The following is a 13,361-nucleotide window of genomic DNA, read 5'->3' on the forward strand; positions in this document are numbered from 1 at the left end:
GATGATTTACCTCACCACCTAACTTCCCACCATTATAACTCAGGAAGGTGTGGGATGCTAAGAGATAAGGAAGTGCCACTGATAGGCAAGGACCTTCATTTGTTCTCTTACAATTGTGCCTGGAGAAAACCTTAGCTAACAAAGTTAATTCTCCAATCGGCCACTGGAGGCCAGTATCTGATTGCTGACTGAGGTTAGCTGTCTAGGTTAGCTGGAAAGATTTCTTGAGGTTCCTTCCTCTCTTCTAAAAAAGAGAAATAGAAAAGTATAATTTCTCCAAATTTCTGCTGCATTCAATACATGAAGAGTATCTATGAATATGAGTAATATTAAAGAGATGTAAACAGCTATATGCAAAATTTTTAAAAATGAAATCAAAATTTTATTATTTATTGTGGCAGTTTTTAACCAGATATGGGAAGAGTGGGAAGTCGAGGAACAAGCCTCCTGAGAGATCAGTGTCCAACTTTCTATTTCCAGCATCTTCTCTGAGAAAAGCTATTCTTTCCTGTCAATGGTACGATACAGGCAGGAGAGGACAGCCTAAATGTAATGCTTCCTTCTTGTTCCTGTGAACAGGCTGTATTTTCTTTACAGTGGTCTAGGTAGCCACAAGCCTACTGCGTGTGCTCTTCTCAACCTGACGTTTAGTATTTTCCCTTCTACATTATGATAATATCAGGAATGAAGTCAGTGAGACCTGTTGCCTACAGAAAGAAAACTCAAGGTGTGTTCTGTGAAGTGCAAGAGTTGTGAGCTCCCACACTTGAGAGACTTTCTTTTTTGCAATAAAGCTTCAGTTAATAAATCCCCAGAAAAACAAAAGTCCCTCAAAGCAAAGTCAATTTCAGTAGCAGCAGGAGCTGCCCAGGATGACAACTAGAGCCTGGCTCCTTTAAGAGACCAGCTACCGCACAGCTGAAGGTACACCTCGCTGAGAGGAAGTGGGCCAGTAACCAAGGGTGGACTCAGGTGCTGAACATGAGGCATCCAGGTGCCGCAGAGAGAGCTAGGCATCTGATGCTAAAATACTTGAATTCTGCACCTACCCCACACTGGTCAGTTAATGTGACCTTGCATAAGCAAATTATCTGAATAGCTTCAATTGTCTTATCTATAAAATGGGAATAATGATAATACCTACCTCACAGCGTTGCATGAGGTTCAAATGTACAGGAAAGCACTTTGTAAACTGTGAATGAGGAAGGGCACTGATATTTGTTGAGGCTGGAATTTTGTAGATCTCATGTAATCCTCACAACAACTCTACAAAGTTAGACAATTGTCTACAATTCGTGGACAATTAAGGCTCAGAGTAGTGAAGTGATTTATCCATGTTCCTTGTTAATAAGCCCTAAGTGCCACAATTCAAATCCAGGTCTAATGTCGAAGCTCTCTTCTTTGTCTTATACTGCTTCTCACTACATACATGAGGTATTATTTTAAATCATGGGCTGTCACAACCAATCGCTGACTTGTAATTCAATAGCCTTAAGAGCCCATATCCAGGTCAAACAAAAAAAGATTTAAAAGGTCACTTTCTTAAAGAATACAATTCTTGAAGATTCACAACAATTTTAAAAAGCAATAAATTAAATTGCACTAATCTTAACTTTTTCGCCTAGTTTCAACGAGAAAAAATATCTACCTTCACTCAGGAAGGCCTATGCTTTATGGGGATAACATTGATATCTCGTGGGCTTTTAGGATGTTATAGCTACAGACCATTTTCATAATTTTAGAAAAAGTTATATTTTAACTCTACACATTTGTTCCTGTCTGCCTCATTCCCTATTATTTAGGTTCACTCACATCCTTCTATCTATACCATTCTATCTCTGAAAGTTAGTTCATGATAACAAAGTATGATCATGAAAATTATCTTCTTTGTTAAACTATGACTCAACTGAGATAACTCAAGGGTTTCTTGCTTATTTATAAAATGAGTATTTATGGTTATTTGAGGATGCTCTTGGGCCTGTATCTATTTTATGACACTAATGGAAAAAAGATTATTTAGTCAAATAAAAAGTTTCTACAAAAAAGGAGAATATGGTGGTGGTGAACTATACATAAACCAAGAAGGCTAGAAGTTTAAACTATTTAACTTCAGAATAACAGTTGAGAAGCATGGAACATACAAAAACAAAGTGTTTTCTAACAGTGACTTTTCTGGTTACTTTTAACAAGTTAAAGGCTTTTTTGTTTGTTTTTAATCTGGCAGTTTATATGATGTTCTGATCAAAAGCAGGGCCTCGACTCAGTGACTTCTTGAAACATCATGAAAATATTTAGTATTAGTCTGTGAAAGACTGTGGACTAGACAGTTACTTTTAACATCTTCTAAGTTCACACATAAAAATTATTGAACAAACATCAGAAGACAAGAAAAAAAAGACAGAACATTTATTTTAAGGTCTTGGTAAGTTTTCGATACCTACCCTGGACTTTGAGTTACCCATTCCCATTTCTATATCCTTCTGAAGCCTTCTCCTTCTGCATTTGGGAAAGTTAACAATTCGCATGATGAAATAAACAAATGATTTTGGACTAGGAACTAGACTGAAAGGTGGAGGTAATGTTTTTCCATCATCAAAATAGGATAACCAAAGTTTTGAACGAGCAAACTTCCATTCTACATCACTGTCATCCTGTGTCACAAAAATAGAAAAAAAAACTAATTTTAAATGCTAAATATTCTAGTGACTGTTGCTAATAGGTTTTTTACAATGAATCTAAGTTACGTTTTTGAAATAGGTAACTTATACACATTTATCTACATATATTCTATAGACCTACACAATATTCTCATTTTTCAAATATAAGATACTCATTCTTTTTCATATGCCTCTACCTGTACCCACTGAAATTTAACCAGAACTTCCTGTCTAACATCCAAAAACAAGGCAAAAAAGACAAGAAAAATAGAGTGCCAAGGAAGGATAAAATGATTAATTCCTCCCTCTGTCCCCCACCCAGTCAATTCTGCATGTTTGACAATAGTTGCCTATTTCCCATCCTCCTTCCTCACCTATACCTATCCAAGCCAGGCTGTAGACACAGCATATTATATTTCAAGGGCAAGGGGAAAAATGATTCTCAGATGAATTGCTTTTCGGCATTTCTGTGTTTACCATATGTCCCCAAATGTCACATAAGCCCCTGAGTGCCTGAACTTGTTTTACATCTCCTTCCATTCTCTGTGCTGCCCACGGTGATGGAGATAACCACCCTAACTGATAGGAGAAATGAAGGGAAGGGGTCCTTATGAGGAGGAAGCTGGCTCTCTCAGTTCACACAGCCTAGAAGGCCATTAGGACCAAAACTTCTACTTTGAGAACACTATATTATGAGTTTCTAAAACATACATAGAGATTTGGTGGAGTTAACAAACTGCAAAGCACTAAAAAGATACTGAAAACTGAACTGAAGGACATAAGAAAACATATATACAACAGTGAAGAGAGGTACCAAACCCAGCCCAATCCAAAACCAAGAATCAAGTGATTTCTAGAATACTCAAAATTTTGACTGGATAAAGAATACCATTAGTGTTTGCCAAACATCTGGTCATTCTACCAGGTAGAATTGTGGGCTGGCTAATTGAAGAGAGAGTAATTTCCTTAGGGCCAATACTTCTTCTAGCCACTAATTTCAAAACTTCTGAAATATACCCTGAGAGAAGGCGGAGCAGCAGTAAATTCATGGGGACCCCTGCTGTGCACCTAGAAGACAGCAGAATGTGTAGAGCTATCTATCCAGGTAGAAAACACAGGGAAAGGCTCAGGCTCTGTGTGGATATAAGCCTCTTTGTTACATGAGCTGGAGCTCAGCCACAGGGTACAGAAGCAGATGTGTACTATCAGAATAGGATGACAAGGATAGATACTATGGATAGAAAACCGATTTACCTCAATTTCTTGATATGAGCTATTAATCATAGCAATTAGCATGTTGAGTAAAACGACCACCATAGTTACATTGTATATTCCATAAAGAACGTATCCAATATTTTCTATGAATTTGTGATCATATTTGAGCACAACGGAAGTCACTTCAGACAACCCAAATATTGACCAAAATAAAGTCTTGAAACTTTCTTCTACACTGTTGAAAAAATAAGATACAAAGTAAGTAAGTTAACAGTTTTCAATATCTAAGAGTGAAAAGTAAAAAACAAGTTAGGGTTTAACTACTGTACAGATGTAAAATGCCACCATAATATACTCCAAGAGCAGGATTACTTTGTTATGACATTTCATAGAAAAATTATTCTTTCAGGTTTTCAGGAACTGATGATTAAATGGTGCCAATGCCTAGCTTTTCTGAAGTTATCATCAAGTGAAAATTCTCTGAACTCCACAGGAGAAAGCTGAAGTCAAGTCACAATAACCATTCCTTTCTCCTACAAAAATGGGAATTTGCTGTTTGATTTTGTATGTGATTTAGAAATTTAAATCAGGTTTTCTGTAGTAGAACAGGGTTGGGATTAAAATTATATACCCAATTTTTAAGAAGTATGTAAAAACATATTCCTTGCAGCATCATTTGCAGTAGGGAAGAATGAAAGTAATCTAAATATCCATCAGTAGGGGACAGGCTAAATAATTCTGGTATATCCAGATGATGGAATGCTATGCAGTCACTGTAGGAAAATGAGACAGATCGAGCTTTGTGTGTTTATATAAAATTATATCAAAGATACAGTAAATGAAAAAATAAGATATAGCAAGTGTGAAATATTCTATCATTTAAATAAAAAAGAAGGGCATACAAATACTTATATTCTTTTTTATATAAAAAAATCTCTGAAAATATCCAAAAGACACCATTGTCTCTGGGAACTAAGGATAAGTAAGAGACTGGGCCAAGGGTAGGGAGAAGGACAGGCATTTCCCTGTAGACGCCTCTCTATTTAAATTTTTTATCATAGGAACACATTACCTACCTAGAAATACTTAACTGGAAATGAAGAGGAGGCAGCAGAATGAAAGATTCCTGTTCTTTTCCCTTAATTTATATAATGTACTTCCCGATTCTTCCACCACAACAATTAGCACTTAGGTCCTCACCAGACTAATTACCTAAGTTCGTCCCTTAAATCATCTTTGGGTGGTTTTGTCACAGAACCAAATTGTAATCACTAGTGAACTAAATTAGTAATCATTAAATTAAAGATTTACACACATAAAATTCCATTACACCTTCAAAAGTAAGTCTTTTCTTTTCTCAGAGAAAGATTTGTGAAAAAGTACGTTTTAAGTTTCTTATAACACATCCTAAATAACAATGAATTTTATAGATTTGTAGGTTTTAGGACTAGTTTATTCATTCACTCATAAAACAAATATTGACAGAGCACCTATTATGTTCCAGAAATTTTGCTACACCCTGAGGATGGAGGGTTGAATAGAACTCTATTCCTATAGAGTTACTCTCTATTACAAAACATTTGGCTGTGTGATATCATGGCGTAGATGCTGACAGAAGAGTAAGAAAAACTATAATCTTTTTGTTCCTACCATTTATTTAACCGTATCACAAAATTCTCCCGCTCCTTCCTCTTGCTCCTTTGCAAACCTTGCTGCCCCTAGCTTCTCCTCGAATCTATATGGAGTGCATGTGTGGGAAGAGGGGGATAGTAAAAAAGGAAAGGACACTGGCAGTTCTGAGCTCCTACTGTGGGCAAGAGGCTTTATATAACTCACCTTACATAATTGTCACAACGACCTTATTTAAACTTTATTGTGCTTATTTTAAAAATAAGGAAACTGACACTGAGAAATGTTCAGGAACTTAACCAAAAGCCACAGCTAGAAACAGCAGAGATTGCATTCAAATCCACGTCTGCATGATTTTCAGCCTATGTCCTTTCTACTACATTGAATGGTCACATCCCTAGACAAAACAGTGAAGAAAATAGAATGTATAAAATGAGTTACCATAGAGTTAAAAGGAAAATGGGGGCAGGGATCACATTGTGTACAAGATCTCTTTGTAATTTCCCTGCTGGGTTCAAACAGGTTTTTTTCTTCATTACAATAAAGCAAGTTTCAAGTCTCTTTCACCTCTAAGACCTGTTCTATATTAACTATTAAAAAATTCATTTTAGAACAATTGAGATGTCTACAAGGGCTTGATATGCTACTTTAGTCTATAGAGTACTTACTGAGTGTATAGTTTGTTTCCAGCAGTGGCATTATTGGGAACAAAGGGAGAGCAGGGAGGGTTTATGACCTTCCCACCTGGAAGAACTGCAGTAGAAGGGGGGCCCTATATTCATGACAACCAAACACCACTGGGTGAGAACAGATCTCACAATCTGGGTGTCTCCATGCTGCAGGAACTTGAAGGGAAAATGACTAAGGAAACTTGATCAAGGAAGACTTCATGGAAGAGGTGAGTCTCCAGTGTAGAAACCAGTATGGCCAAAGGAAGAAACTGGTATTACCATGATAGTGGGCTATAAAATGTTTAGCTATAACTTCCTCTTACTCGACTTCCTGTACCGATCAATGAATATATTAAAATAAAAGCTGATGCTTCCTTTTTGAAAGAAGAGTACTGGCTACAAAATGATGAAACTAATTTTAATGTTATACATAATGTAAGAGACATCCAGTATTAGAAATCTGTTATCCTGTTTTCTTAAAATAGCCAGTTTTGTCTAGGGTTTTTCCAAATTCTGACCCATTCTGTGGTCAAACTCTCACTAAGCTCAGAGATGAGCCTTCAGAGCAATATAATCAACACAAGCACTAACTGTTTTTGATGGATTATTTTCTGTGCTTAAAAACATCTTTATTACAATCAGAGAAATTTTTCCTTTGCTTCCTCTAGATTGGTTAGAATTTCTCTTTATCATACCTGTATAATAAGATATTTTACTTACGTGGTAAAAGCAGCATTAACTTTAGCCCCAAGGTAGTAAGAATAAAGTATGAACATGCCAATCATAAAGGCAAAAAACACCATAATAAAGAGGACCATGAACTTGAATATGTCCTTTACAGTCCTTCCAAGAGAGATCTGCAGGGGGCCAAAGCTCTCATTTGCAGGGAGGATGTACGCAATCCGAGAGAAGCTGAGCACAACAGCTATGGCATAAAGGCCTTCAGATATAATCTGAGGGTCAGAAGGGAGCCATTTATCTCTAGCTAGAAAAAAGAGAGAAAGAGATTAAAAATGGAGCTTTCTATTCATTGCCAACTACGCAAAGCAAATACCTTAAATAGGATCTATCTTGTAGGTAGGTGGTTACCATCTCAGTTGAAACTAATCTAGATTTAATTAACTGTCCAGGGACTATTTTCATCTTAAACCAGAAACGTAAATTCTATATTACTTTAGATGGAGGGTACACTATTATAAAGATACTAAGCTGACTCCACATTCAGCAGAAACAGAATAAAATACAAAACATGGAGAGGTTAAAACACTTCGTTAGACACAGACTGTATCCAGGATGACAAAACAACTGACTTGACTGATTTGTCCCTTCAGTCATTAGATTTACTGACCAGTTATTTTGTCATCCTATAGGCACAGCCGGAGTGTAACTTCTTTTCCATATCTTGTGGGAAAATTAGTTCATCCAACAATTCATGCAAATAAAATATTTCGAGGAGTGAGAATGTCACTGAATCACAATGGTGCTGACGATGTGTTATCTCAGCAATATAACTTGTCCCCGAAAAATGTAAAATGCCACTGAAGTAAAAGAATTTTGGATATAGATTCAGAATGAGGACCCCTAACAACCCTTTCAAGGTCACTTATTAAGTCTGCAGCAGACCTGTCAGGTCAATGAAATATTATGTGGTTAATTGTGCAAACTTGCAGACATCTGCAATAACAACAAAACTTAACATTTGTTGATCAGTTCAGCCACTGTGGAAAGCACTTTGAAGATTTCTCAAAGAACTTAAAACAGAACTACCATTCAACCCAGCAATTCCATTAGTGGGTATATATCCAAATGAAAACATATTGTTTTACCAAAAGACACATGCACTTGCATCTTCATTGCAGCACTATTCACAATAGCTAAGATACGGAATCAACCTAGGTGCTCATCAACAGTGGACTGGATACAGAAAATGTGGTACATATACTCCATGGAATACTATGCAGCCACAAAAAAGAACAAAAATCATGTCCTTTGCAGCAACATGAATGCAGCTGGAGGCCATTATCCTAAGTGAATTAATGCAGGAATAGAAAACCAAATACAGCAGGTTTTCACTTATAAGTGGAAGCTAAATAGTGGGTATTCATGGACATAAACATAGCAACAATGAAACTGGAAAACTACTAGAGGGAGGAGGAAAGGGTTGAAAAACATCTATTGGGTATATGCTCAGTACCCAGGTAATGAGGTCATTCCTAGCCCTAAACCTCAGAATCATGCAATATGCTCAGGTAACAAACCTGCACATGTGCCCTCTGAATCTAAAAAAAAGTTTAAAAAATTAACATTTCTTGACTATTTAATATGTGTCAGACACTGCTTTCAATGATCCTATGGATTTGATATTATTATCCTCTCTTTAGAGATGCAGAAACCAGACTTAGAAAGATTAAAAATTGATCAAAACAATACATATAGGAGATAGGGAAGCCTGAATCCATCCCTTCCAGACAACAGTCATCAAATATACATAAATAAATTTCAATAAATAGGTTATGAAATGGTCAAGATACCTAAAATACAATCTAAAATTAATTCTTTAATTACAAATGGTGATCATTTGCTCATTTGAACAAGTCTCCTTGGTATATAAAAGTCTTTGCTTGCTGAGAATAACAGAGGTGCTTAATTACATCTTATATTTTGGAGCGGAAGTCCAGCCTTCAATAACATTAACATGCTCCTTGTACTCATCACAATGTGCCCTAATTACACCTATAAAAAAGTATTCTTCACAACCAGATCACAGTTAAACTCTGTGCCTGAGTTCCCTTACCTGTAAGATGAAGATTAGACAACACTTTCTAAAGTATTTTCCAGATTTCAGATTTTACAACTATATCCAAATTTGCTAACTGTGGCTCCTCAATTTGGCCTCAAGGGAAGGGAGGCTAACATTACTTACCATTGGTTTGTACGGGGCAAGGAAGGCATCAATGTTCTTTCACACCGGATGTCAGCTGAGGTCTCACTGCTCTTCATAATATAGAGATATTTGACATGAACCCCATTCCATGCCATGTGAACAGGACAACATCCTCCCAAAATATTTCTGCTGGTTCTCCAGAGCTTACATTCTCACGGTCACTTTAGAACCTACTTCCTGCCTCTGTTGAATTACCGTTCACTTTGCCTGCAGAGCAGTTTGGCAACTTTTATTATCTTATCTCCTTGAACCCATGCTCTCAGGGACTTACCTTCCACATCAAGCAGTTTATCAAACTATTTTTTCCCTAATTAAGACAGTCTCCCAATAGTAATTATCTTATAGGCTTAAAGGTAATTTTCTTCCACCTTGCAATATTGTCTTTTTATAGCTATGAAAACTGAGGCACAGTGAAGCAAATTGACTTGAACAAGTTTACACAGCAAAGGGGGTCAGAGCCTTGAAATGAATCCAGTTTTGTAGGTTCCAAAGTTCATGCTTTCTCCACTGTCCATAAATATTCAATACACCTCTCATACTAAACATACTCCAATTGGCATTTCCTTCCAAAATGTGGTTCCAATACCTTTCCCAAAACACAAGGGGACCCTGAAGCTAACAACTTACCATAAGTGAAATACTGTATCTCTGGTGGGAGTGTCACTTCACTGAGGTCACTCTCTTGGACGTAACTGTCCACATACTGTTGTGCCTTCGTTGCCTGAAGGAAAGCTAGGAATCTGGCTGTGAAAGCAGCAATGAAGATGGACAGCATCCCAAAGTCAAGCACATTCCACAACTGCAAAATGTATTCCCTAGGTCCTTCCAGCCAGAGCTCTTTACATTCAGACCACATCATTCCTGTCACAACAAATACAGAGGGTGCAGGTCAGATTTTACAGGCCAGACTGAGAAGCCATTATTGTGTCCACCATCAGGTCACATCTCTACCCTACACGTCAAGCACAGTACTAGGCATCACAAAGCATTGACTGACTGACTGTATGGTCACTGAGGCCCTGTGCAGAGTTAAATGGAAGAAGCTCCTGCTAAGAAAATAATTCACCCCACCACACTAGAATTTGGAGAAGCGGTCCACATGTGGCACCAGAGATGTCTCTATTCATGAGAGGAGGTGGTGGAGGGGGGTGAGGAGAAGAAAGAAGGAAAGGAAATAAGGAGAGAAGGCTCTTCAAGTTATCCCATAAGACTTTTGGAGAAGAAAATATGTTCTATACAATCACAATGGTTAGTTATCAAACCATAGTGATTATTGGAGAAATAAGTCCACAAGATTTTTAACAAGAAGAACAGTTTCCCAATGATACTCATATCACACTCTTATCCTCTCTTCTCATTTCCATGTCATGCTAAAAAGTGAGCAATATCGTTTGAAAAAGATGAAACCCTTAAGTGAGAGGTCCTAGGACATTCTGAAGAAACTGAAAGCAGAAAATGCCATTCTGGGACAAGAGGACAAAATAGTACAACTTAACAACTTAACAAATTGTCCAACTTAACAAATTGTCCTGACTACATAAAGGGAAAATACTGTAGAATTTTTAAAAAATGTAATGGCTTAAAAGAAAATGTATAAAATAATTACTTGACCTAGGCTGAGGCCACAGGAGTGAATGGGAGGAAGAACTAACCTACTAACTCCGAAAATGAGAAGACACCAAGACTCACATTGGATAAAACAAATACAAAAATGACTTCGGATTAATCAGAAATAAACAACCTGGTTCCAATCTCCATTTCTTAGCAGAGAACACAATAAATTCTTTTCCTCACATTACTTCAAATTCTTATTTTAACACAGCTATTCAAAATGGGTTATTGTAAGACGAAATAGGTTGGTGCAAAAGTAATTGCAGTTTTTGCCATTTTAAAAATAGTAAAAACCACAGTTATTTTTGTACCCAACCTAATAACAAACATTCTGAAAATGAAAACTCTCCTAAAATCTCTGGAACTAAAACAACAAAGAAAGTATTTGTCATCAGTTGATAGCCATTGGGTTATTTCATAAGTATTTCAATTAAATAATCACAGTGAGTTACATTTTAAAACTTACATCTTGTTCAATAATTGAAGTTAGATTTCTGAAACATAGTATATTTGTAATTAGGGTCACGTTACTCATAAAAAATTTTATGTAGTGTTAAGGGACACCTTTTGGCATTATCTAGCTAGAAAATTATTTGGTTATTTTGCTATTTAGCTTATCTTGCAACAGTGATGTTGTCACCATATAAGATATAATAACATTTTTTTTCAATAGAAAATGACAATTATTTCTATAATTACCTTTTGGTAGAAATTAGGATATTTAAAATAAAAGACTTACCAAGAACCCAGACCATAATTAGCATTTCAGTCCATGTAAACTGGGTGGTTTTCACCCTGAAGATCTGTTTGGGATAGTCAGTAACTGTGATATTGGGCAGCGTGGTGATGCCTTCGAACCTGTCTGAGGCATTGAACACAAGCAGACCCAGGAAGATGATGAAAGAAGCTGCATGTGCTACAAACTTCATAAAAGGGCTTCGCAGAATTTTCCCCAGCTGTAACAAACCAAAGAGGAAAAGTTTGCTTCAGAAAATCTGGCTTTCACTTGTGGAGATTACAACATAGGATTAAAAAAAATAGATGAAAGGAGAACACTCAAAATTCTGCTTCTGTTTCCAAAAAGCTTTATATTATGAAAAATATTCTTTTTTAGGGGAATGCTTCCTCCAAAAATAATTTAATAAGTATTCAAAATTCATTGTTTCTAAATGTCCAATTTGTCTTAGGGTAGACTGCATTCACAGATGCACTTCTGGAAATCACAGGGCCTATACTGGTTCTTGCTCTTATTTTTACACAAAAGAATATGCAAAGTCTGGATTTTAGGGTCTGGAAAAAGAAATTTCAACTTTGTATTGTGTAATTCTTCATTGCTTTGTAATTGTAATTGAGATGTTATGAGGATCTTATAGACTCATATAAGACCTTAAAAACCCTTTGAAGATTAAAAAAATTACTACTACAGAAGTAAATTTTAGTTCTCATTTCTAAATATTCCAAAATCAAGTTATACCTGGTATGCTATAAAAAAGGCAGAAAATATTAGAACCAAGATGAATATTGTATCTGTTACTGCCCCTAATAAGGAGATACACAATAATTAAAACCTCTAAGTAGGTTAACTTATTTGAAAGTGATCTCCCAGTTGGATAATCATGTAAATGGTACAAAGGGACTTCCAAAGTTCAGTATATAATTATTTTAAGGTGACTCCTTTAAAATCCCCTATGATATAATGTCCTTAAAAGTCCCACGTTCCCGTGAAAATGAAAAACCATTCCTCCTGTCCCAAGGGCCCCCACAGTCCAAGAATTAGGTACATTTGGTAGATTTATCAAGTATGTTCTCTTTTCTACACTCTCAGACCCTGCTTTTTAACTCTGTCTGTGACCTTATAAAGTACTGAGGTTCACATTTAAGGGACTGTTAACTCCAAACAAATGTTTTTGTAGGTCTAGAACCTTAATGGGATGTCAATAAATGATGAAAGAGATGTCAGGGATTTTTGGGATTGAACATGAATGCACACAGACGAATGTCACATTTTCCATGTTAGACACAGAAGAATAAACAACACATTTACACATCACCTTGTTGTTACACAGCTGCAAAAAGGGCACGTTTGGGGGTAGCTTATCCGTAGCACATAGAAATTTCTTGGGAATTACCAAGTCTGTTTCTCCTAAAGGTCAATCTTTTAAAACTTTAAATAACATGAAAAGAAAGCAGAATGCCAATCTCAAAAATGGGACATACATGGAAAATTCTTGCTATGTTGCCTTTTTCCATAAGATAGGTGGTATACGGCAGCTCTAAACATGGGCTCTGGGAATGGCTCAACTTCCATGTTTCCCTTCTCTGCAGAGCATGCCACACTGTTAGTTGTACTTGTAAAAGTGCAGGGAAAAAAGAAGTGGACTCCAAGATGGCTACTTCAAACCTGATGGAATGTTTTAACTGATTAAGTTCCCCTAAGAGACAAACATTTCTAAACCTGAACTTTCCAACTCATTTCCTTCAGAAAAGAAAATTATTTGGGTAGGATATGATTTTTTTTATTGCATGCTCTCTCATATTATTTATAGTTTTTCATCTTTAGTGTTTACGTATTTGAAGAATCTTAAAGTAATTTTCCATGATACATAACAAAAGAACTTGGCTGAGTCATCAAAC

The 13,361-nt window shown here is 36.4% G+C and overlaps 1 protein-coding gene across 8 annotated transcripts in view; it reads right to left on the reverse strand.

Annotated features, from left to right (window-relative positions):
* The window catches only part of TRPC3 (transient receptor potential cation channel subfamily C member 3), a 77,580-nt gene that overhangs the window by 25,930 nt on the left and 38,289 nt on the right, over window positions 1-13,361 (reverse strand). For 5 of the 8 annotated variants that reach the window (NM_001366479.2, XM_011532218.4, NM_001130698.2 and 2 more), the window contains 5 exons: window positions 11,467-11,683; window positions 9,744-9,977; window positions 6,893-7,157; window positions 3,912-4,107; window positions 2,442-2,651 (listed from right to left, as the gene is read on the reverse strand). In NM_001366479.2, the coding sequence (NP_001353408.1) occupies window positions 2,442-2,651; window positions 3,912-4,107; window positions 6,893-7,157; window positions 9,744-9,977; window positions 11,467-11,683 (1,122 nt within the window). Of the gene's footprint in view, window positions 1-1,144; window positions 1,193-2,441; window positions 2,652-3,911; window positions 4,108-6,892; window positions 7,158-9,743; window positions 9,978-11,466; window positions 11,684-13,361 lie in introns of all 8 variants that reach the window. The other 3 variants (XM_017008578.3, XM_011532217.4, XM_047416116.1) reach the window with 1 other exon arrangement.

The sequence above is a fragment of the Homo sapiens genome, chromosome 4 (assembly GCF_000001405.40).
Source record: "Homo sapiens chromosome 4, GRCh38.p14 Primary Assembly".
NCBI classification, from domain to species: domain Eukaryota; kingdom Metazoa; phylum Chordata; class Mammalia; order Primates; family Hominidae; genus Homo; species Homo sapiens.